General features: G+C 59.0%; 1 protein-coding gene across 1 annotated transcript, besides 2 other annotated features; it reads right to left on the reverse strand.

The window, feature by feature from the left end:
* Positions 1-6,085: 6,085 nt before the first annotated feature.
* On the reverse strand, positions 6,086-15,859 carry NPTX1 (neuronal pentraxin 1). The gene is made up of 5 exons (NM_002522.4): positions 15,255-15,859; positions 14,763-14,970; positions 12,452-12,696; positions 10,984-11,163; positions 6,086-10,286 (listed from the first exon to the last, which is right to left on the reverse strand). Exons 1-5 carry the CDS (start codon positions 15,696-15,698, stop codon positions 10,065-10,067), a joined length of 1,299 nt encoding a protein of 432 aa, NP_002513.2. The 5' UTR covers positions 15,699-15,859; the 3' UTR covers positions 6,086-10,064.
* Positions 7,177-7,901: an enhancer, noted in NCBI's record as "H3K4me1 hESC enhancer chr17:78441725-78442449 (GRCh37/hg19 assembly coordinates)". NCBI's record gives its function as "activates a minimal SCP1, AML or CMV promoter by ChIP-STARR-seq in naive H9 embryonic stem cells {active_cell/tissue: H9 hESC(naive)}" and the evidence as "EXISTENCE:reporter gene assay evidence [ECO:0000049][PMID:30033119]".
* Positions 14,313-14,846: an enhancer, noted in NCBI's record as "H3K4me1 hESC enhancer chr17:78448861-78449394 (GRCh37/hg19 assembly coordinates)". NCBI's record gives its function as "activates a minimal SCP1, AML or CMV promoter by ChIP-STARR-seq in naive H9 embryonic stem cells {active_cell/tissue: H9 hESC(naive)}" and the evidence as "EXISTENCE:reporter gene assay evidence [ECO:0000049][PMID:30033119]".
* Positions 15,860-23,614: the final 7,755 nt, after the last annotated feature.

Genomic DNA, 23,614 nt, shown 5'->3' on the forward strand with positions numbered 1-23,614 from the left:
CGGATGGACCTTGGCAACACCATGCCGAGTGAAAGAAACCAGGCACCAGGGCAGACTGTAGGATTCCACTGCTGTGAGGCGCCCAGAGCAGGCAAACTTGTAAGGAGAGAAAGTAAAGTAGAGGTTCCCAGGGGCTGGGCTTTGGAGTGGAACAGGGACTTAGTTACTGCTTCATGGGGACAGAGTTTCTCTTTGCAGTAATGAAAAAGTTTTTGAAATAGACGGCGGTGATGGTTGCACAACATTGTCAATGTCCTGAATGCCACTGAATTGTACACTTAAAAATGGGTAACATGGTAAATTTGGTGTTATTTCTATTTACCACAATTTTAAAAAATTAGTACTGTACTATAAAAGCCATGGAATCGCACGCTTTCCATAGGTGAATTGCATGGTTTGTGAATTATGTCTCATTAGAAGAGGAGCATTTAAAAGAAAGAGGGAGGCCAGGCACGGTGGCCCACACCTATAATCCCAGCACTTTGGGAGGCTGAGGCGGGCGGATCACCTGAGGTCAGGACTTTGAGACCAGCCTGACCAACATGGTGAAACCCCATCTCTAATCCCAGCTACTCAGGAGGCTGAGGCAAGAGAATCGCTTGAACCTGGGAGGCGGAGGTTGCAGTGAACCGAGATCACGCCACTGCACTCCGGCCTGGGTGACAGTGAGATTCTGTCTCAAAAATAAAGAAAGAAAGAAAGAAAGAAAGAGGGGCAGCAGCCCCCACATGCAGCCCCCATGCAAGAGCCCCCAAGGAGAGGCTTGATGCATCAGAGGTGCTGGGTGGTCTGGCAGGCTGGAGCCAGGCCACTGGGGAGCTGGGAGCAGAGGGAAGTGTGTGGAGGGCAGCCCTGCCCCGGGTTCTGCAGCAGCCCCCGCCTTGTCTGCCTGCACTGCTCTCGGCTGGTTCTGTGCTGAGCGCAGCCTCTCCTTGGAAGCCAATTTTCTGCACAGTGAAATGTTTTTTTTGTGCCCACTTTAGCAGATGGCCCCCCACCTTGGCCTGAATTGGGAAGCACAGAAATGCAGCAGGGGACAGACGGCTTCTTTGGCAATGTCTTACAGGCACACGAGCACGCAGACTCATACCCGCCCCCCACAACTCGCCTTCACGGACTCTGGGCTGCAGCCGGCCTCCGGAGACCTCTCCTCTTCTGCTGCCGACCAGCTGCTGGACGCCTGGCCCAGGTGCTTGCTTGGGATGGATGCAGATGACTGCATGTCTCCAAGGCCGGGACCGGGGCGCTTCCTCTCCTGCACCCGCCCCTCTCGGCCAGTCCCTCCACTCCCCCTAATGGGAGAATGCTGAAGGGATCCTGGCAGGGACTCCTGACCTCCAGTGTGGAGACCCCGCCCCAGGCACCTGTCTCAACCCCATTTACAGGGTAGCTGAGAAACTTCTGGGGAGACAGCCTGACCTTGGCCCACCACTGGAGTCCAGACCTTAAACCCACTGTGGTCAGTAGGCAGGAGTCTGGCCTGAGGTTTGAGGAAGGGCAACAGAGTCTCCAGTGGGGAAGTCGCCATTGAGGAAAAGTCTAGTGAAAGCAGATCCTAGGCCCACGGGACCAATGGTGTGTCAGGGCCGAGTTCCAGGGCCAGCAGGGAGGAGGGGGCTGGTGCAGGGAGGGTTGGTAGCCTCCACAGAGGGATGCCACCGGTCCTCATGGGTTGGAGCCAGCCCTTGGGCACCAGAGAGAGCCTGAAGGGGCTACAGAGACCATCTGATCCTACCCTGTTGTTCTAATTTTTTTTTTTTAAAGACGGAGTCTAGCTCTGTTGCCCAGGCTGGAGTGCAATGGTGCAATCTCGGCTCATTGCAACCTCCACCTCTCAGGTTCAAGTGATTCTCCTGCCTCAGCCTCTGGAGTAGCTGGGATTACAGGTGCTTGCCACCACACATGGCTAATTTTTGTATTTTTAGTAGAGATGGGATTTCACCATGTTGGCCAGACTGGTCTCAAACTCCTGACCTCAAGTAATCTGCCTGCCTCAGCTTCCCAAAGTGCTGGGATTACAGGCGTGAGCCACCGCGCCCGGCCCTAACCTATTGTTCTGTGCTGGGGTGGGGTGGGGAAGATGGAGGCTTGGGAGGCCACTGCCCACTCCTCATGTGACCAGGTCAGTCTCAGGAAATGTAAGTGTCCTTCTTAGAGGAACTGGGAGACAAAGGGATTTTCAGGTTTCGTTTTTGTTTTTGAGACAGGGTCTCACTCTGTCACTCCAACACACCTCAGCTTGCAGCTGTGTCCCTCCAGCCTCTGACTCCATCATCACAGGGCCGTCTGTCTTCCTCTGTGTCTCTTCTTTTTTAAAATTTTTTTGTTTTTAAAATTTTTTTTAGATGGAGTTTCACTCTTGTTACCCAGGCTGGAGTGCAATGGTGCGATCTTGGCTCACCGCAACCTCCACCTCCTGGGTTCAAGCAATTCTCCTGCCTCAGCCTCCCAAGTAGCTGGGATTACAGGTGTGTGCCACCACACCCAGTTAATTTTTGTATTTTTAGGAGAGATGGGGTTTCACCATGTTGGCCAGGCTGGTCTCAAACTCCTGACCTCAGGTGATCTAACTGCCTTGACCTCCCAAAGTGCTGGGATTACAGGTGTGAGCCACCACACCTGGCCTCTCCTTTTCTTATAAAGACAACACATCTGCAAAGACCCTGTTTCCAAATACAGTCAAATTCACAGGCACCATGGTTAGGACTTGGAGCTGTATTTCTGGGGGAAACAGTTCAACCCATAACAAACCAATGTGGGGGTACTTTTTTTTTGACACAGGGTCTTGCTATGTCACCTAGGCTGAAGTGCAGTGGTAGGATCATGGCTCACTGTAGCCTCCACCTCCCTGGCTCAAGGTATCCTCTCACCTCAGCCTCCACAGTAGGTGGGACTACAGGCACGGGCCACCACTCCCAGCTTTTTGAAACTTTCTGTAGAGATGGGGGTCTCACTATGTTGCCCAGGCTGGTCTCGGACTCCTGGACTCAAGTGATCCTCCAACCTCGGCCTCCCAAAGTGCTGGGATTATAGGCATGTGCTTCCATGCCCAGCCGATTTCCAGGTTTTAAGGGTCAAACTGTTGGAAACATTTATTTAAAAATCCAGTAGGAGGGAAATGTGTGACCAGTGAGTGCAGAGGGAGTCTGTGGCATTTCCAGGAAGCACCCCAGGCCAGGCCTTGAGCATCTGGGAGAGGAAGGATGTTCAGGCCACGGGGCAGACGTCTCCACAAGCCGAGGCCACAGGGACTTAGCTGTGCGTGAGTGTGGGTGTGTGAGCAGCCAGCTCCTCGAGCTGAAGGAGCTCGTGTGCCAGCGAGAGGGTGCTGCTGGGGATGAGCCCACCCCCGGCTACCTCGTAGGGAATGGGCACAGGGAGAAAGCAGGACTCCCTCAACTGGGATGCCCCTGCTCCAGGAGCCCACAGCTGGGCTCAAGGCCGTACACATGCCCGGCTTCCTGGAGCACCAAAGACAGGAAGAGGGCAGCTGGGGGACCTGGAGCCGGATGCCCTTTCCCAGGATAAATGTAGGGCTTCCAGAGGCCTTGCATTTGCAGGGGGCCACTTTAAGCCACATCCCCAGACCTTCCAGGGCTTGGTCCAGCTTCCCCTGCTGCTGCTTATGGGACCTGGGTGGGGGATTTGACAAGTCCTGGAGCAGCTCAGTGGGTGGGGAGGGAGAGATCCAAGGACAGGTGGCCTGCAGTCCTGCGTGGGGGCGGGGGACGCAGCCTTCAGGAGCTGAGAAGGGGACCTCCAGACATCCGGAGCTTCCTGGTATGGATGACATGGGAGGCACTGGAGTCCGAGGGCTGCAGCTGGGGTGCCCCATGGCCCAACCTGAAGGCAACATTTCCCAGCTCCCCTTGGTTCTTTGGCATCCCAGGAGGGACTGGTGCATGGGGAGGGGCCTGTGGGCAGTGGGGGCGGCGTCCGGCCTTCAGGAGAGGAACCTGGAGGAGGGTATCCTGGCATGGCAGAAGGTAGTGGGGTCTGCCCCCAATTGTACCTGCTCGCACCAGGCCCTGTGCATATAGCTCCTCATCCCATCTTCACGGCCCTGAGAGAGAGTACTGCCAGCCCCACAGCACAGGTCAGGACCCTGCTGTTTAGCCAGGCCAGGCGAGAACACTGAGCTGGGAGTCAGGAATCCTGGATTCTGATTTCTGGATGTCAAGCTGTGCAACTCTGAATGAGCCACACAGCCCCTCTGGGCCTCGGTCCCCTCATCTGAACAGTCGGGGAGACAGACTAGACGACCCTCAAGGTTCTCCAGGCCCAGACATCCTGCAGGTCTTGGACGTAGCATCTCTGTCCATAGCGACAGAGACAGAAGTACCCGCCATGCAGGCAGGCTGCCCCTGGCCCAGTGCAATTTGAGGAGGCTGCTGCATGGGGGCAGAGCTGGTGAAGACTGAGGGACCCCCGTCTTCCTGTGTTGGGACAGATGGGCAGGAGCTGTAGCTCAATGCAAGGAACCAAGCATGAAATGACAGAAAAAGAAGAGACGGGAGCGCAAAAGAAAACTTGCCGATAGTCAGAGCCGTCTGAAAATAGGACAGACTACCTCTCTGGGGTAATGAGCTCCACATCACCAGAAGTGTGCAAGCCGAGAACAGTTTCAGGCACCTGAGAGGCTGCTGAAGTTAATGACTTCCAAGACACCCTCTGGCTTTGACTTCTTGCGCCCGTGTCCCGCTGCCCAGACTCCCACCTCACTCCACCGAGCTGCAAGGCCCGTGGCTTCTTTCCAAGCAGCTGTTCTTAGCTCCACGGCCCCCTGAAGGCATTCATGGATGAGCCAAAATCAGGCGTGAGAAGTGCAGAAAGTACTTTGCATCTAATGATAGTTAAGAACCCAAGTGTTTGAATGAGCTCTCACATAGAGATTAGAAATGTATGCGTGACGTTATCACAGACGTAACTCTGCACTTTCTTGAGTGGGAGGTGTGAGGCGGTGTGTCCATTGGAGCCACTGGAATCGGGCATAACCCTGGGCCCGACCGTGAGCGTGCACCCTGGGGTGAACACCACCCAGCGAGAATGGCTCTGGGAACACAGGCCAGGGGCCTCCCGCCTGGCAGGGCCTCTGTCTCCCGACCAAGGCTCTTCCTGCAGGGACACAGGGGGTTCCCTGCCTGCTTTGCTGAGGCCAAACCTTCTCCCTCCACACCATCCCAGGTGACAGGTGGCTCACTCACACCCACTAAACCCCCGCTCCTGAGTCCTGGGAACACCAGAGCACCGGGCAGAGAATCCCCGGGCGATGCCAACAGGAAGCCAGAGTGACCAGTCCCTTCCGCCAACCCAGTGTGTGTGTGTGTGTGTGTGTGTGCATCTGTGTGTGTGAGGTGGGGGGCACCAACCAAACCACCGGGCAGGTGATTTTGGCTCCATGTCCCCTGACTTCAGGTTGTAAGTGTGCTAGAATCACTCACCCCAGGGCACTTGGGTCCTGGTTACTCTGTCCCTTGGAAGGAACAGCTCGCAAGCTCCAAACACATCCAGAGTCAAGCCAGGTCCACAAGGGGGACAGGGAAGTAAGCTCAGCCCAAGGCCCAGCGTTCCCATGGCTATTTATCCCTTTGTAGGGACACTCTCAGACACTCTCAGACAAGTGCAGGGAAGGGGCCTGGGACTCTGAAAGCGGGAAGGCAACCACACGTGGCTAAGGCCCCGCTAGCAGAGGCTGAGGCAGAGAACTGCCAGAGTTGCTTGGGCACGACAAGCCCGGGCCACCTCGAACCCGGACCCAGCTGTGGACCGCGAGTCCACCCAGGAGGGGAAGGGGAATGCGGAGTGACCCCACATCCCAGGCCGAGTGGCCTCACTGAGTTGGGGAAACACTGGGCCACTCTCTGCCTCTGCGTCAGCTGCCCCTGGGAAATGGAGACCCCTCCACCCAACATCCAGCATCACCAGACGGTGTGGGGTTGTCAAAGGGCACAGGGCAATGCACAAGCGAGGCACACACCCCCTGCAGGTGAGGGTCACCTGCACCTGGCTGGGGAAGAGGGGTGGCTGCAGGGGGAGGTGGCATTGGCAAGCCTCGGAAAAGAAGAGACATCCTGAGGAGACCACAGTCTTTCTCCACTCTTTACTGTGTAAAAATAAACTCAACAATTCATGTCATTTCAGCAAGAAAATGAAAAAAAAAAAAAAAGCAAGAATACCAGTAGAAATAGTGCATTTCCAGAATTGCTGATGGGAGGTGGCAGGTCCCATGGTTTTGACCCATTTGATACCCAAAAGGCTGCAGATCATATGAAAAATGTACAGCTTTGGTTAGCAAATAATGAAAAAGTGAGATACATCGATTCTCTTTCATATTATACAGTATATACATTATAACAATATCAACCATAGGGGGTTTGCTTTTTTTTTTTTTTTTTTTTTGGCAAATGAGACAAAATTGGGACTCTAAGTATTGGGCTTTTTTTTTCTCTTCAATGACTTGTTCCCTTTCAACAAATTGCACTTCAGTCCACTGTGTACAGAAGTAATACATTTCCCATCGTTAGTTGAATAAATTTACACACTGTGTTTAAGAGATGAAACCACGACTTCGTCAAGCCACATTTGGTTGCCATAAGATTCCAAAGGATTCTATCCTCTTAATGTGAACCACATGTAACCCAAGGTTCTTCTATCAAGGTTAGAACTGATATTCAAATCCTCGGCTCATTCCACTTAGTAAGTCAGCTCCAAGACACAGGTTCACCATAAATGGCCAGTTTTACCTCCTGGTCCCCAACATGCTTTTGAGAACAGGTGGCCCCTCTTTGGAGCTCACTGGAATGACTGAACCTCATGCCAGCCTCTCCTCACCCCCTCACTGCCCACAAGACACCCCCTTGGTCTCAGGTCCCAGGGCTGGTGACAAAGTGATCTTTGCAGTCTTAGAAAATAAACTGGGAATCTACAAAAGGAAAAGAAAGCATACAAAATGTATCTCTTTCTTCCAAAATACATGCTTTCAGTTCTACGTTTTGGTGGAGCCTGAAAGTATTTTCAAGGGAGATATAGGTTGAGTTAATTTATAGGTTTGTCCTTTTCTTTCATAAAAATACTCTTGTTTGGTAATAAACTTTTTCTTCTACAGTAAGAGAAATAATACTGTGTTATCAAAAGCAAGAAGGCTTACGACTCAAGTGGGATCTAAGCCCCTGAGGGCCCGGAGAGCTTCTGTCAACAGCTCTCCCACCCCGGACACCCAGGGAGCTGTCGGACACCAGCTCGGCAAAAGCAAACACTGCCTCAACAGTGCTTTTTATCTTCTTGTTTTATAAAATGGCTTACCTGAGAGAGGCATGTATTATTCAGTGCAAGAGGGAACATCAATCAGATTAAGGAGTAAATGGGAACTACGTGGATTAGATTTGCGGCTGTGTCATCGACCTTTCTCGGGGCCAGCAAAGTGCCAAGTGTCAACACAGTGAGGGAGTCGAGGGGCTTGGCTCAGACCCTAGCAAGGGGCAGGAGGGAGCTAAAGGTCAGCTTCGGCCCTGGCACCATGGGTGGGTCAGAGGAGGGGTGAGGAAGGTGAGCGGGCCAGGAGGCTGCAGGGGTGGAGGCGTAAGCACTGGGGTGTGCTCTGCCCCTCGCTAGTCAGGGCAGAGGATGGCTCATGGTCCTGAACGGACAGCTCCCACCTGGCCCACGGGGGCAGAAGGTGGTCTGCGGTCCAGTAGATCGGCAGGGGCGGGGCTGGCCGGAGGTGCTGGCAGGGGAGCACCCCACACAGCCCGCACCGGGCGTTGCCTACACAAGGGCTCCGAGATGGCTGGAGTGAGGGTGGGGCTAGATCTGGTCTAGAGAGGCGACTCCAAGCTCTCTTGCTGGCTCCCAGCTGTGGGAATCCTTTAGGCTTGTTCTCAACCTACACGTTAAAAATGCTTCTTGGTGTGTTTGGGGAGGGGGAGAGGGAAACTGAGCTCTCTCTTGACCTCCTCCAACACCCTTGACTTGCTTACCCAGCCATTTTCAGTAGCTACACGGGTGGTCACAGAACACTGGGCGGCACTCGGCACACAACACAGAACCGGGGCAGTCCATGCAGGTGCGGGAACACATGTCGGACCCAGGGAGCAAGGAACACGCCACCCCGAGGAACATGCAAACGGAGAAGATCCCTGCAGATCCAAGGATGCCACAACCCGACGGGCGCTGAGGAAGCACGATTATCTAAGAAAAAGCCACTGTTGAACAACAACGCGCAGCACGGCGCCTGATCTGCACCCCCCTCTGCGGGAGTGATGCATTGCAGAACGGCGGCCGGGTACCGTGCAGACACCCACGAGAACACTGACACAGAGACACTGACAGACACACACAGATGCACTAGGTTCTTGACACAACGTGGACCTGTGTTTAAGGGGACAGGTGGCCCTAGAAGGAACAGAAGACAGAAACACCTGCTCCTCCTGCAGAAATGTCTGCAGCTGCAGCTGAGCCAGGCAGTGCAGTAGAATTTCTAGAAAGACTTGTCAGCGGTTTGCTGATGAGACTCCTGGAGACAGAGTCGGGGTGCCCTCAGGGCGTGCGACCACCAGATGGTGCAAAGCAGGAAGCTCCTCCTACCCTGGGCAGGGCCTCCCGAGCCTGCTCTCTTTCTCACTTAGCGCACACACACACACAACACACACACACACACACAAATGCACATACACTTCTCTCCCCTCCTTGGAAGGACTAGAAGGAAATGTCCATGTTGCTTTTCACGGGGAACAAAAAAAGGCAAAAAGGTTCTGGACACTGCTCAGGTGTCAGTGTCGCCGGCCAGTGGCAGCTTGTGGGCTGCTGTAGGCCGTGAGCCCCATGAGATGGAGGAGTGGGTTTCAGGCCCCTGCCCTGGCCAGGCCTGGCTCCACACGTGAGGTCTCTGGAGTACCCCTGGAGGGGTCTGAACCAGCTCACCTGGCGCCTGGTGTGCTGGGAGGGATATGGCTGTCAAAGTCCCCCAAAAAGGACCTTCCCACCGATGGGCTGGGTTGAAGTCCCAGTGGCCCCATGTGGCCAGGTCTTCATCGAAACACGGCTTCTTTCCTTAAAAGGTCCCCTCTGGTCTGCACTGCCGGAGGCCAAAGGAGAGGGGTGCTGGGGCCCGGCTTCCCGGGCTGTGGGTGGCACGCTCCTCTCTCAGGGCCCTCTGGGCTGAAGCAGTGCAGCACAGCTCCAGAGGTGAGAAGGGAGGGGCAGACCCCAGCCTTGCAGGATCTGAGGAGGTGGGAAGGTCGAGGGCAGGGCCGTCCTGGGGCAGAGCTAGCTGAGCTGGGCACACAGGCCGACCTCCCAGGCCCCATGCTGCTCTCAGATGCAAACAGCAGGGATGGATGCTGTCTGGCCCTGGGGTAAGGGCCAGTGTCCTCAGCCATCCCCTCTCCTCCACGGGAGAGCACAGGGTACCATCCCAGGACGGCCTGCCTTCACCCTTCAGAGACAGTTCACTTCTATTACAAAATAAAAATTCTCTGTAGAGAGCCCCCGCCCCCGGCCTTTGACAAACCACTAAAAGACATTTATTACATCAATATAAAGATATGTCGCTCTGAGAAAGGTTTGCAAACAAAGACAAATGCGTGTACTGAGGTTGCACCAACCCCAAAGCACGCACGCAGCTAACAAAGTTGGCAAATATGAATTTTCATCATGAGATTTTTCCAAAGCCAGAAGAAAGAAGGAAATGAGGTACGTCCTCAAAGAAAAGGCCTCCCCCAGCCACGCACGCACACACGTAGACACACACATGTAGACACGCACACACAGATCCTCTCACCAACTTCTGCCTTGTTCAAGACGTTGCAGCACCCACTTCAGCTGTGAATGGGGCATGCCTGAGAGAGTCCGGGCTCCTACAGAGAAGTGGGGCTTCCTCAGGGACAGATGGGAGCAGGGGCTGCTTCGTGTGCATGAGGACAAAACCAGGCTGTGTGCGTGTGCGTGTGCAGGGGCGACGGCCTCGGTTCATTCCTGGGGAAAAGGGAGAGAAGAGACGCACAAAACAGATCATCGCCGCACAAGCAGGGGGCGAGGGCGGGCGGGCTCAGCCTGGCCTGCCGTGCTCAGTTGATCTGGCGACAGGCCTCGAAGGTCCACTTGGTGGCCCCTCCGTAGATCTCGATGTGGGATTCAGCCCAGGCGATGACATTGCCGGACAGAGCCTTGGTGCTGCAGGTGGCCAGGTTGTACACCTCCCCGGGGGTCAGCTTGCGGTCCCAGATGTTGAAGTGGGCCAGCTCACCCACAAATGCCTGGGTGGCATCAAACCCACCACCCAGAGTGTCCTTCAGAGAAAAACAGAGGATGAGAGTGGAGGGGTCGCCAGGTGGTCTGGGGGCCCATCCCTAGGCCGGGGATCTGAGTGCCTCTGTGCCTGCCCGATCACGGACTCTCACGGACACTCCTAGGTGCCGTTTCGTCTCCCTGTCCCTGACTCTCCAGCCCTACATCCATCCCTCCTCTGGGGGAGCCCAAGAAAAGGGATGGCACCGACCACCTCTGCCCTGGAGCTTCTCCTGGGGGGACCTGGACTCTGCCCCTCCTGCAGCTGGTCCCTCAGCCATGGACAACCACAGCAGCTGGGCCTGGGGCCCCTGCCCAGACATCACTCCATGCCAGCTAAAGCTGCCCAACAGGGACAGACGTCCCCGATTCTCCATCCCTTCGTCTTCCTCCCAGGTGCCCAACAGGAGACAAACCACTTCACGGGAACTAGATTATGCATCACTAAAAGCAGAACTGGCCTTCCCATGCCAAAGAAAGTGTTGCTGCAGCTCTGAGAGCGTTGAAACCAGAGCTCACTCCTGCAGGAAGTTCAAGTGCATGTCCACCCAGGGCACAGGCCTTGCCCAGCCTGCTCCCCGGGCTGCTTCTCAGGGGAACCACTTCTCCGGCTACCTCCCTCCCTCCTTGCTCCTCTTCCCCTTCCCAGCCTCTGGTTCTGAAGCTCTCTCCCCTTCCCCACCACATCCAGCACAGTACCTGCTCCTGGCCCAGCACCAGCACGCCCTGGGGCTTGATGGGGTGATAGGGCGCCAAGTTCTCGCCACTGCCACCCTGCGTGCCATCCTGGTAGGCCTCCCAGACCCCGTCCCGGGTGGTCCAGGTGACACAGATGTGGTGCCACTTGCCATCATTGATGACAAAAGGCAACTTGGCCACCTGGGAAGGAGAATGACAGACGCCAGCTGGTGAGTACAGGGGTACAGCCCAGAAGCCATAATCTTCACTGCCTCAGTTGTTCCTATCTCTACTTGCAAAGTAAATGTCAATAACTATTACTGAATTCTCACAGCACCTACTGCCCCAGACTTCAGCGTCTGTCAGCCCCGCCTGGGCGTGGGGCACAGAATCACACAGGAAATGTAAGGCTCTACCGAGGGAACCCCCAAGGGCCATGTGGGTGTGCAGTCTCTTCACTCCTACTCACCCTCCTCCCTCTTTGCTAGTCTACACAACAAGCCCTAGTCTACACCAGGGAGAGCCGTCCCTGGTGTCTGAGTTCACTGCTGCCTCTCAAGGCTCCGTGCGACATCTGTGCAGCCTCCTTGCTGGCCTCTCCTCTCTCTTCCGATGTCCCATCTCTAGCTGTTACACCCTCTCACTCTACAACACGGCAAGCTTTTGCCGAGGATCTGAGAGATGTCATGGAGCACGATGCCTTTTAAAGCTCAGACCAGCCTCCAACCTGGAATTTCACTCTCCCACTGCCATTCCAGGTCGGGAGGATGACGGTCCAGCAGACAGTGAGGAAAGAAACTTCACACCCTTTCCGCTTGGGGAAAGGGGGCCCAGAATGGCACAGCCCTTTGTGGGGAAGAGCAACAGGAACAAGGGCGTGGAATCCACTTCCCAGCCCAGGTTTTAGCCATTGACTACCACTGCTGGCCTGGACTTGAGACAGTTTGAAAGCTGGCAGCTAGTTCCATAGCTAACAGGGGAGGATGGAGAATGTTCACTAGAGGGAAAGGCTGCCTGTGCTGTCCTGTTCCAAGGGATCACACAGACCTGTCCTCCTCCCGAGAGTTAGGGGGCTGAGTGGGATAGACTTGGACTCAGGAAAAATCTCTAAGGACCCCTCACCCCGCTAGAGCATCTCTGGGTCCCTGCTATGGAGGGGCAAAGCCAGTTCCAAGGCCAGCTGGTGGAGGAGTCCAGATCACATCATCGGGCAGGGCCAGGCCCCATGGCTCGTTCTCCGCCATCTCCCGTACCCACCCCAGGAGGCATCCGGGAAGGTCCAGCTCTCCCTGCTCTCCCAGTACAGGTGAGGGGGCTCCTACCACTTCTCCTGGTCTTCACCCTCCCCCTCCCTCAGTCCCACCTGGCAAACACTTTCCTTGGGGCCCCATCAACATCTGAGGCCACCATAGCCCTGTCTCCGCATGCAACATGAGCTGGGGCCCTGGGGCCTCGCCCTGCCGCCCTGTGAGCCCGGGGGCTGCTCTACCTTGTCATTGATGAGGATCTCCATGGGGTTGTTGCCCCACTCAATGAGGACCAGCTCGTTGGCCTGGCCGGGCACAGCGTAGGAGAAGGGCGTGCCCACACCTGGCGTGGCGCTGGACTTGAGCCACATGCAGACAGTGAAGGCGTACATCTCTGGCAGGCTCTTCTTCACCTTGGCATACATATAGTTGGTCCGCAGTGGGAATGTGAGCTGGAACTTGTCTCCAGGGCGGTTGTCTTTCTGACCTGCGGAAGACACAGTCCTGACATCTGCACCTGCGTGAAGTGCTTATCGGTGTCTGAGTTGAGTTCGGTCCCCACCAAGCTCTGTGATGCGTGGCCAGGGCAGGCTCCGGTCTCCATTCTGGAGACGCAGAGCGGGTAGCTTCCCAGGTCAAGTACTTTGCCCCAAGGCACAGGGCCAGTCTGTAAAGAGCTGACCCAAGCTCTTCATGCTCCAGGTCTGGCCTGCTGTCACGCCCATGTGCTGGCATCCTTGGGGAGATGGGGGTGGGGGGCAGTGCCTGGTGGGCTGCTGCATCAACACTGGGCTGCGTGGTGGGCATGAGAAGGGAATGGGGACAGCCGCCAAGCCAAGTCAACCCAAGGAGCAGGGGTGGCTGCAGAGGAGGAACGAGGCTAGCTACCCTGAGAGTAACCGACCTGATTCCAGGATGGGGCGGGGCTCAGAGCCTCTCCTCGCTCAATCCCAGGCTCTGCTCCTGCCTCTCCCCACCCGACAGCCAGGCCCTGGTGCCCACACACTTCCCTCCAGGCCAGATGTGCCTCTGACCCACCAATGCCTCTTGGGTGTGAGGCTGGGCAGCTCCCCACCTCCAAGGCCCTTCCTTGGAGCAGGGACTCTGCCTGGAGCTCTGCTGAGAGGGCAGGGCAGCAAGGAGCTGGGAGTACTCTGGGCGCCAGGGCTCCCCAAGGTGACTGCTCTAGGATGCCGCCACACTCTCAGGTGAGTAAGTGTCCTCACAGCTCAGGTTCCAGGCCTGGTGGCCTCCCTTTCCACAAGGCCCACCTTCTCCCTCCCCACCGGCCACTTCTCCCGTAAGCGCCAACCCCCATAGCCCATCTATATACTGTGGCACCCTGGGTATGGTGTGACTGACTCCAGGCAAAACATTCCTGGCCAGCAATGGGCACAGTAGCAGGCCCAGAGCCCAGGAACACACACCCCTTGGTCAATCCCTGGGTGAGCAGCCGTGGTCCTGCCAGGAAGCCCAGAAAGAAACCAGTTCCCCAGGCCAAAAATTATTTCTAGAAGACATCCTGCCCGGTCAGCAACCACCCCCTCCTCTAAACCAACTGGCAGGGAGCAGAGCAGGGCAGGCCCCCTCAGTGCAGCACCCCAGCGGCTACCCCAACCCATTGAGGCCTGCAGTGGGGGATAGGGAGGGGCCCAGCCCCTGGCCTTTCTCCGGGTGTTTTTCATTCCCCAATCTCCGCTCCTTCCCTCTCCCTCCCTCCTGAGGTCCTTCCTTCTGATCTGTTTTTCAGTTACATAACAAGCCTTAAGATGGCACTGTTTAAATCTGTCCGGCACATTTTGCGGTCTGAGCAGGGTCACGTGGCCTTGCTCCGCACCGGGCACCCCCCCCCCTCCCCTTTTACAACCTTGTTTGATTTCTGCGACTTCAAGACAGAGCCTCCAGCGCTCATCCAGGCGCCCTGGGTGATAGACTGGCTGGCCTGAGTTGGTGACTGAGAAACCTCAGGGATTTGAAAGATGCCAGGACTTGGGTCACTCAGAAAAGAAAACCTCAGGGTAGGGGTTCAGGACAGAAGTGGGGAGGAGCTGGAGATCCTGAGAGGACACCGGGGGCATGGCAGCCGGGAAGAAACCTGCTTAACAGCCTCAGCGGCCCGGGGAACGAGAGCGCCCAGCCCCAGCCTGCACCCAGCTGTACGCTGAGGCTGGGGACCAGGGAGAGACAGGCTTTCTTAAGCAGGGAGGGTTTGAGCCAGCGACAGCCACTGTGCAAAGTTACTGAGGATTAAACAAATCAGACTTGAAAAATCCAGCGAGTGTGTGAGTGTGTCTGGATGGGGGAGGGGGCACTATGCAATCCCCTTTCCCAGAGACAGCCCCAGCCCAAGGCACCCAGCCCTGATAGAAACACCGACTAGAAGCCCAGAACCTGGGAAGGGGTGCGGGGAATGAGAAAGCGGTGCAGGGGTTGGGGGTAGCGGAGCGGCTTGAGGCTTGCACAGTGCAGAGCTGGGCTGTTAGGGATCGGGACCGAGGCAGGGTCGGGCAAGCAGGTGCAGGCAGGCAGCACGGCTCCCCCTGGCCCCAGTACCTTTCTCGAGCTCGCTGATCCGCTGGTGCAGGGAGGTCAGGGCGGTCTCGATCTTGACCCTCTCCTCGGTGTCGTTCCTGGGGCCCCCCTTGCCCTCCTCCAGGGTGTTCACCCGGGACAGCACCTGCCTCTCCAGCTCATCGATCTTGCTCTGCAGCAGATCCTTGAGGCTGTTGGTCTGGCTGGAGGAATTGAGGCGGCTGTACTGCTGCGGGGTGCAAGGGCGGGGGAAACCACACCGTTAGGCGAGGCGCGGGGACCGTGCTGGAAGGCCCGCGGCGCGGTCCCCTCTGGGCGACTGCGGGGGCGGCCTGGCAGGGAGCTGGGGCGAGTGGCCGCCGCGGGGCCTCGCAGGCGCGGGGAGGCACCGGCCGGGCACCCGCGCGGCTGAGGCGAGGGCGGGGGATGCCTGGCCGGGTAGGGAACGGGGTGGGGGAGGGCAGAGGGGCGAGCGAGCCGGAGGGGGAACCGGAGCCGAGGGCGCGCGCGGACCTCGAGGTTCTCCAGGCGGGTTTTGAGCGATTGCAAAGTTTGCCCGAGTTGGCTGAGCGTCTCGGCGGCCGGTGTCCGGGACAGGTCGCCCATGGTGTTCTTGCCCGAGCCGGGCTGCTTGCGGCCGCCGCCCGCCCGGGCCTCGCCGGCTCCGGGGTCCAGCGTGCTCTGGCTCTCGCAGCGGCCCAGCTTGGCGGTCAGCTCGCGGATGGTCTCCTTCTGGCTCAGGATGGTCTCCTTCTGCTGCAGCACCGTCTCGCGGAGCTGCAGCACGCTGCTCCGGAGCTCCTCGGCGCCGCCGGCGGCCACGGACGCGGCGCACATGTCGGCGTCCACGGGCACCGAGGTGCAGATGAAGCGCGTCGGCCCGAAATCCTGGGCCCCGGCGCCCAGGAGGCAGAGGGCGAGCAGCGCACAGGTGCGCGCGGCGCGGCCGGCCGGCATGGCTGCGGGCACCGGGCGCTCCGGGCCCGGCTCGGCTCGGCTGGGGCTCGGCTCCGGCTGGGACCCGGCTCGGGCTGTGGCTCCGCGAGCGGCCCGCGCTCTGGGCGCCGCGCTCTTCGGCCGCGCGGTCCACACCGCCGCGCTATCAGGCCCCCACTGCCGCCTGCGCTGCGGAGCCCGCGCCTTTTATGCCGCCGCGGGAGGGGCCTCGAGCCGCCGACGTCAGCGGGGGAGGAATCCCGCTTTAATTGTCCGCGGCCCGGGCCCGCGGCGCGGCGGGGGTCTCACGAGCGCGCCACCGGGGCTGCCTCCGCTCGCGTCCCCCCCGCCCTTCTGGGAGCTGCCGCGGCCCCCTCCTCCCCCGCCCCCGCCTGGGCCGGCGCTGCTGCCCCGAAGGCTCCGAGAGCTCAGGGGGAAGGAAGTCGGGCTCCGGCCCCGGACTCGAGGATGGACCACCTGCGTGGTGTCCCCGAACCTCCGACGGGGCTCCAGGCGGGCGGGAAACCACCGCGTCCGGGAGATAGAATTCGGTTCGGCCCTCCTGGCTGCACTGAACACCCTTGGGCCGGGGTCGTTTGGAGCCGGGCTGGGTGCCCAAGGACCCAGGTCGTCAACACCCGAGTGCCCGGTGGTCAACGGCTCGGAGTGGGGCCTCGCGGCGCCACTAAGTCCAGAGCGGGGGTCACCGGGCCGCCCCGCGTTTCTTAGATGTCCGTGTGCTATTGAGAAGCCGCCGGGCAGCCTGGGTACAGGGACTTCCCACGGGTCGGGGCCCCCGGCGCCTCCCCTCCCCCAGCTCCCGGGCTCTGTGGACCCGGCCCCGTCCCCGGGGGACTGTCAGTCCCCACCCCGTGCGGGCGGGGCGCTGGGGACTTCTCGGAGGCAGACCTAGCTGATCGAGCCTTTCCTGTCCGCGGCGCCGGCCCGATCGCGGGCAGGCGGCGTCGCCGGGGCTGGACGTTCGCAGCGGCGCTTCGGAAGGGGGCCCCGCGGGAGCAGCCGCCCGCGTCTCCAGCAGCTTCCCCTTGCCAGGCGCCGCGCGCGCCCGGTATCCCCGGGTGTCCACCTGTGCGTGGGGGGCTGTTTCCCGTCTGTCCAGCCGCGCCCACTTCTCAGGCCCAAAGGCCAGCAGGAAGGGTCCCGGAGGTGGCTGGGGGCGTCCACCTGAGAAGCTCCGCTCTCGCTCAGACACCCCACCCGGCACCCGCGCACTCGCGCCTTCATCTGGACCGCGGGGCTCGGCTCCCGAGATCGCGGTCCGGGTTCCGGCGCCGGGCTGGGGGCTCAGGACCAGGGCTGGCGCAGCCGCCCCGCCCCGCCCCGCCCCGGGGCTATCAGAGCGGTCAAAGCCTCGGAAATCCCTCCGTCCACGCTCCCGTGGTACAGAGAAGGAAACTGAGGCTCCGAGACTGCGGGGCCGGGCTACAGCCGTGGCCCCCCGACCCCTCCCCGCCGCCCCCGGCTTCTCTGGTCTCTGCGTTCTGCAGCCTTTCCCTGCGCGCAGCCGGGGGCTGGGGGTCCCCAGCCAGCAGGGACCCACGGGCAGTCCCGGGTGCCGGGATCGGGCGTCCGCCCCTCGGGCGGGAGCAGAGGCCGGCTCGATGGAGACCTTTTTGAGAAATGGCGGCCTCTACCCGCCCCCCAGCCCCCGAGCGCCCGCCGTCTGCGTTCAGCATCTCAGCTTTTAAGCCTCCCTGAGCCGGGGCTGCGTTCTCGTTGTCTCCTTCGGCCGCCGCTTCCTGGCGCCAGAGGGACCCCGCGGCCCGCACGGGCCTGTCCTCGGCTCCGCTCGGAGGGTGTGCGGGTTCCCGCTCCGCTGGCCCCGCTTGCCCACCACGGCGCGCCCAAACCCACGCGGCCCGCGGCCCCTTGCGTGCTCTGCCGACCCCGGGCCGCAGGAGGGGTTAGCCTCGCCGGTCCCCACGCGGGGTCTGCGCCGGCAGCGCCACGGGCTGGAACGCGCCTCGGGAGAAATTACCCGCGCGGGGTCGCGGCGTCTTCTGCCCCAACTCCCGTAGGGAGCCGCTAGGCGGGTGCCCTCCTGGCCCCAGCGCTTTGGCCTCGCCGCCCTCCCGCACGCGTCCAGTGGGGAGGCCGCGCCCGTCAGGCCTGGAGCCGGACCGTGCCCAGCCGAGAGCGCGCGGGCGCGGGAGAGGAGCCCTGCCCTGCCCAGGGCAGGCTGTTTAGACGGGGCGGGAACCCTTAGCCTGGCCCCGCGTCTCTATCCCCAGCAGCCGTGGAGCCTTCCTAGCCGCCCAAGGCCAGGGACCCTGCCTGGCTTTTCCTCCAGGGCAGCAGATCTCAGCGGCCTGGCACCTCGGCACAGAGGAGCGTGTCCCCCTTCCGCAGAGGAAGGGAGTGGACGGCGTCAGAAAGGGAGGGGAGCCTGGGGCGGTGTCTGGGGCTAGCGGGACCTCTGGGCACTGTGGGGCCCCAGGAGAGGAGACCCTCGGGTCCAGCCTGCAACTGTTGTGCAGGAGGCGCTGGGCGGGACACCTGCAGGCGCTGCACACACACGCGAGGGCCACCATGCCGCGTTTCTCCTTCACAAGACCCTGGGCAAGCGGAGGGTCGTATTTAGGATTCCCTCGGCCTCCCCAGTGTTCTGAAAGTATCTGAGAGGGAGGGAGCAGGAAAACGAAGGGCCGCCCTGCCCAAACTCATCGGGGTGTCTGGTTACTAGGTCGGAAGAGGGGGGATGGTGTTGTGAACAGCCAGTGATCCCGGCCCTGCCTGAGTCCCACACCCCAGATGCAGCTGGGGTGAGGGAGGCGATCCCGTAATATTCCCAGCCGCGTACATTTGTGGCTGCCTGTGACACGACCTCACTCATTGGGAAACCATGCACACTAGCACACTGTTATTTTATTTTTGAGACAGGGTCTTGCTCTGTTGCCTAGGCTGGAGTGCGGTGGCGCAATCACAGCTAACTGCAGCCTCGACCTCTTGGGCTCAAGCGATGCTTCCTGCACCACCACACTTCAGCTAATTTTTTTTGTTTTTTTCGTAGAGATGGTTGAACTCCTCTTGCCTTGGTCTTGGGACTACAGGTGCAAGCCACAGCGCCCGGCCTAGCACAATAGTACTTATTATACTACTCCCACCATAACGGTGCAATAGATGTGAATAAAACTCAAAAGCATAGACAAGGCTGGGCGCAGTGGCTCACGCCTGTAATCCCAGCACTTTGGAAGGCCAAGCTGGATCACATGAGGTCAGGAGTTTGAGACCAGCCTGGCCAACATGGTGAAACCCCGTCTCTACCAAAAATACAAAAATTAACCAGGTGTGGTGGCACACATCTGTAATCCCAGCTACTTGAGAGGCTGAGGCAGGAGAATCACCTGAACCTGGGAGGCAGAGGTTGCAGTGAGCCGAGATCGAACCACTGCACTCCAGCCTGGATGACAGAGCAATACTGTGTCTCAAAAAAAAAAAAGATAGACAATAGTTCAATGTAAGAAAATAATTAGAAAGTGATGAGTTTGTAGTATTTATTGCCCATTTAAAATATAATTTATTTAATTATAAGTTTACTTAGTTTAAAATGTAATAGTGGCTGTGTTTAACCATCGACCTGTGAAATTCCTGCAAATGCCACCATCAGTGGGTACTGGCCGGCTCAGCTCACTCCTGGTGGAAGGGCACGGAGAGGCCTGCAGAGGTTAGTTGGTAGTGGGAGGGGGAGTGTAGAGAAGGCAAAGGGGGCAGGTGTCCAGGAGAGGCCCTGGTTAGTGGCCAGTATGGAGAGGGTGGCCAGGCATAAGAAGACTAGACAGACCGGGTGCAGGGGCTCACGCCTTGAATCCCAGCACTTTGGGAGGCCGAGGTGGGTGGATCTCTTGAGCCCAGGAGTTTGACACCAGCCTGGACAACATGGCAAAATCTCATCTCTACAAAAATACAAAAATTAGCCAGGCATGGTGGGGTGCACCTGCAGTCCCAACTACTCTGGGGACTGAAGTGGGAGGATTGTTTGAGCTCGAGAGGTTGACGCTGCAGTGAGCCGAGACCACGTCACTGCACTCCAGCCTGGGCAACACAGCAAGATCCTGTCTCAAAAAAAAAAATTTTAAAAAAAGAAGGCTAGCCGGGTAGGTTGGGAGGTATTAAGAGGACCTCAGTGCCCATCAAGAGTCTTTACTCAGTGGACGGTGGGAGCTCATGCAGGGGTGTGCCTAAGCCTGGTGGGTGCCTGTGCCCCTTGCTCATCCTGCCGTATCTCCCCGGCCTCTCATCTTCCAGGCCATGCCTTGAGCTTATCTGGAACCTCCACCCTTAGCAGGAAGAAGGGTGAGCAATGGGTGGGTGCTGGGAGAATGCTGGGAGGGCCTGAGAGCACTGCGGGGTGCTAGGCAGAGGCACCCTTCTCTGCCCCACTTGCCTCAGCCCTTCCCGCATGATGTTCCATGCTGCCTCTGGAGGGGTGAGGCTGGGAGGGGAGGGTATGGTGGGGTGGGAGAGGCCCTGGTCCCCCACCCGCAGAAGAGAAGCAGGAGCCCTCGATGATCACAGCCCTGGGATAGACACAGTGCCTCAGCCAAGGGTCAGGTACATGCCCCTCTGGAGGACAGGCTGTACCCCTCGGAGACTCATTGCATTGGCAGCTGGTCTAGGATGTGGGACAGTCTGCGGTAAGGTGAGTGGCCGGGGTTTTAGTGTGTGAGATGTGCAACGCCATTTTCACCTGCATCTGAGTTTCCAGCAGCTCGCAGGGTACCGGCCATATTGTTTCTCTATCTGGGTGCTGATCTCATGGGGTGTTTGTCTTGTGACCATTCACTGGGCTGTCCAGGTGCAATCTGTGCACCTTTCTCTGTGGTTCTATGCCTCACACAGGGTGTGCAGGGCACAGCATCCGCAGGGTGTCCTGGGCAGAGGAGAGGGGCTTCTGGCCGCACCAGGGGAGAAGGCACAGGGACCTCTGGCAGCCCAGCCCTCAGGACACAGTCAGGCCACGTGACCTTCCCCCCAAGTGAGGCGCCCCTGGACCCACAGGGTTGGGTGTGGGGCTGCTCTGACGGCAGCCAGTCCCACGGGGCCTCTGAGTCACAGCCTCAGCCCACCTGTGCCTTGGAGTCACTCCTGACAGCCCCACCCACCAGCTCTGTGTGATAAGGGACAGGTCCCTGCTCCCCGGCTCTGCTGAGGGAGGCGCCCCACCCGAGCCTTCCCCTCTGTCCTCTACATGACACCCCTGCGGTGGTAACCTAACTGTGTCTTAAAAACAAGCACTTGTCCCCTTTCCAAGTCCTGGGTCCACATTCACGCATTTGCCTTTCAAAGGCACAGCTGGGCTCTAGTCCTCGCTCACCACAGAGGAAACACAGGGAAGCCCAGAGAAGCCAAGGTCGCACCGTCGCCCAGCGAAGGCAGAGCTGGGGCCAAGCCCTGGCCTTCGCACTCCATGTGGCCACTTTATCTCTGCCCAGCACAGGAGCTGCAAGGAAAAGACTCCAGGAGAGGAGCCCTGAGGGGACAGTGCCCCAGCCCACCCATGTCCAGTGAGTGGGCAGGGCAGGTGGGGCTGCGGACCCCAGGCTCAAGACCTTCTCACCAGCCATCTTCAGAGGAGAAGCCAGCCCTGCCTCACCGCAGGACTACGCGCTTCTGCCCACTATGCAAGTGTGGCGAAGCCTGCAGCAGCTGCAGCCAGGAGCTGATGGGCCGGGGCAGTGCCCCATTCTCCTGCGACAGCTGAGCTCCCACCCCAGATTCCCTGCTCCCACCAGGGGCTTCCCCACAGCAAGGACCACCTTCCTCCTCTGAGCCAGCCAGGCGGCCACTGGCCCAGTCTGGCTGGGGACAGGGCCCTGGGTGGTCTCTGTCCCCACCCTGCCTGTTCCTTCTCTTGGGCTGAGCCCAGTGCTGGGGTCAAGGATGGGGAATGGGTGCTCTTGAACTGCTGACTCACTGATCCCAATCAACAGGAGTTTGCAGGGGAAAGGTGAGCCCTTCCCACCTGGGGAAGGCGTGTCTTACTCTCCAAGTAGGCATTTCATGGCACCAGGCAGATGCTTGGGCATTTGCCATAGTGTAACTGTTCAGAACAGTTGCTCTCAGTTGAACAAATATTTCCAGAGCATCCACTGAGGGGCAGACCAGGTGTTGGGGCCAGGATGAGTAAAACACCATTCTCCGTCTCTGAGGCCAGGCGATCTGGCAGGCTAGACAGGGCTGAACACACCTTGGGTACCATGCGTGAGGGCCACAGGACGGGAGAGGTCCTGAGCCAGCACCAGGCGCATGGGTTAGGGTCCAGCCATCAGCTGGAAGGGTCTCCTGTGGAGGTGATAACAGGGGCTTGAAGAGTGAGCCAAGGGGGCTGGCACTAGCAATGCCAGAGCAATGAGGGGCAGGCCGTGGGGAGACGGACGTAGTTCATCCTGCCAAGAGTGAGCTGCAGGGGCCAGGGTAGATGTGGGGGAGTTGTGGGCAAGGTGGGCCAGGACCTTGGGGAGAACCCACAGTCCTGTGGAGGCGCTGTCTGGGAGCCCTTGGTGAGGGCGGAGCTGAGCAGGAGCAGGGCTTGCAGAAGAGACCTGGAGGGTGATGTCACAGGAGCCAGGGAGGAAGGGGACTGGGCTTGAGAGGCTTGAGGGCATTTGGGAGATTCCTTGGCAGGGGCTTGGTGATGGCTTGGGCGTGGGAAGTGAAGGAGAGGGAGGAACCTGGGAAGATCCCCGGCTTCTGGGCGAGGGGGTGGTGGTGATTCTGCCTGCAGAGAAGGGGTGGGGAGCCTGGGAGGGCCTGGAGGGAGGGAGGAGTCCACAGTTCACACTAGGACGCCTGGGTTTTCCAGTGGCTATCTGACATCCGGGAGGAGGCCAGAGCCCAGCACACGGAGGCTCTAGAGATTCCAAGACGATGAGGAGGCTGGTCCTGAGCTGACCTGAGCGGAAGGGGCCTGAGGGTGCAGAGGGAGGACGGGGCTGACAGCAGAGTCCTGGGAGCATCTTTAGAGGCCGTGGACCACAGCCAAGCCAGTAGGGAGCCCATCCAGGGAGGCAGTGGGTACAAAAACAGAAGAAAGCTGAAAAGAGCACCCTGGGACTCCGATATTCAAGGACCATTGTTTTAAGGTTTCTGATCTCCGCATTCAACAGTGACAAGGGCAGCAGACATCGGTACTCTCAGGCATTTGTACAGCACCTTCTGCACTTCAAAATGCCTTCCCTGCACCCCCAACACAGGGCTTGCAAATACAAAGCCAGGTGAGGAATGGCCCTAGGGCCCCCGTCCCAGCCCTCCCCAGTTTGCATTCATTTGGTTCCTGAGCTAGGACGCTCCCTCCAGCTACCGGCATCTGGCTGCTGAGGTGGGGGCCGGGGGCCTGCCAGCCTGCTGTGTCCTTGCCCATCAATTTTACCACCTGCGAGACGCCAGGAGAGGGCACATGAAATATAAAATGAGTTGAGGCATAAAAGTGTTTCGGAATAAAAATGATGTGTACTGGCAAGAGATTACAGTTATTACAAGGACCGTGCGCTGCCGCCATCACTCATACCTGGGAGAGGAAGAGTGTGGTCGCCTGCCGAAGGAGGCAGCAGCCACCGTGCCTCCTCCTCTGGGGACAGGGCCGCAGACTGCAGGGTGCCAGGCTGCAGGATGGGCTGAAGCCAGCCCTCCGGGAGCATCCAGTGCTCTGGGGGATGAATGACACTCCCATGTCACAGTTAGGCACAATGCAGGGCCGGGCGCCGTGGCTCATGCCTGTAATCCCAGCACTTTGGGAGGCCGAGGCGGGTGGATCACCTGAGGTCAGGAGTTCAAGACCGGCCTGGTCAACATGGCAAAACTCTGTCTCTACTAAACACACAAAAATTAGCTGGGCATGGTGGCAGGCGCCTGTAATCCCAGCTACTTGGGAGGCCGAGGCAGGAGACTCACTTGAACCTGGGAGGCAGAGGTTACAG

This window comes from Homo sapiens, chromosome 17 (assembly GCF_000001405.40).
Source record: "Homo sapiens chromosome 17, GRCh38.p14 Primary Assembly".
NCBI classification, from domain to species: Eukaryota; Metazoa; Chordata; class Mammalia; order Primates; family Hominidae; genus Homo; species Homo sapiens.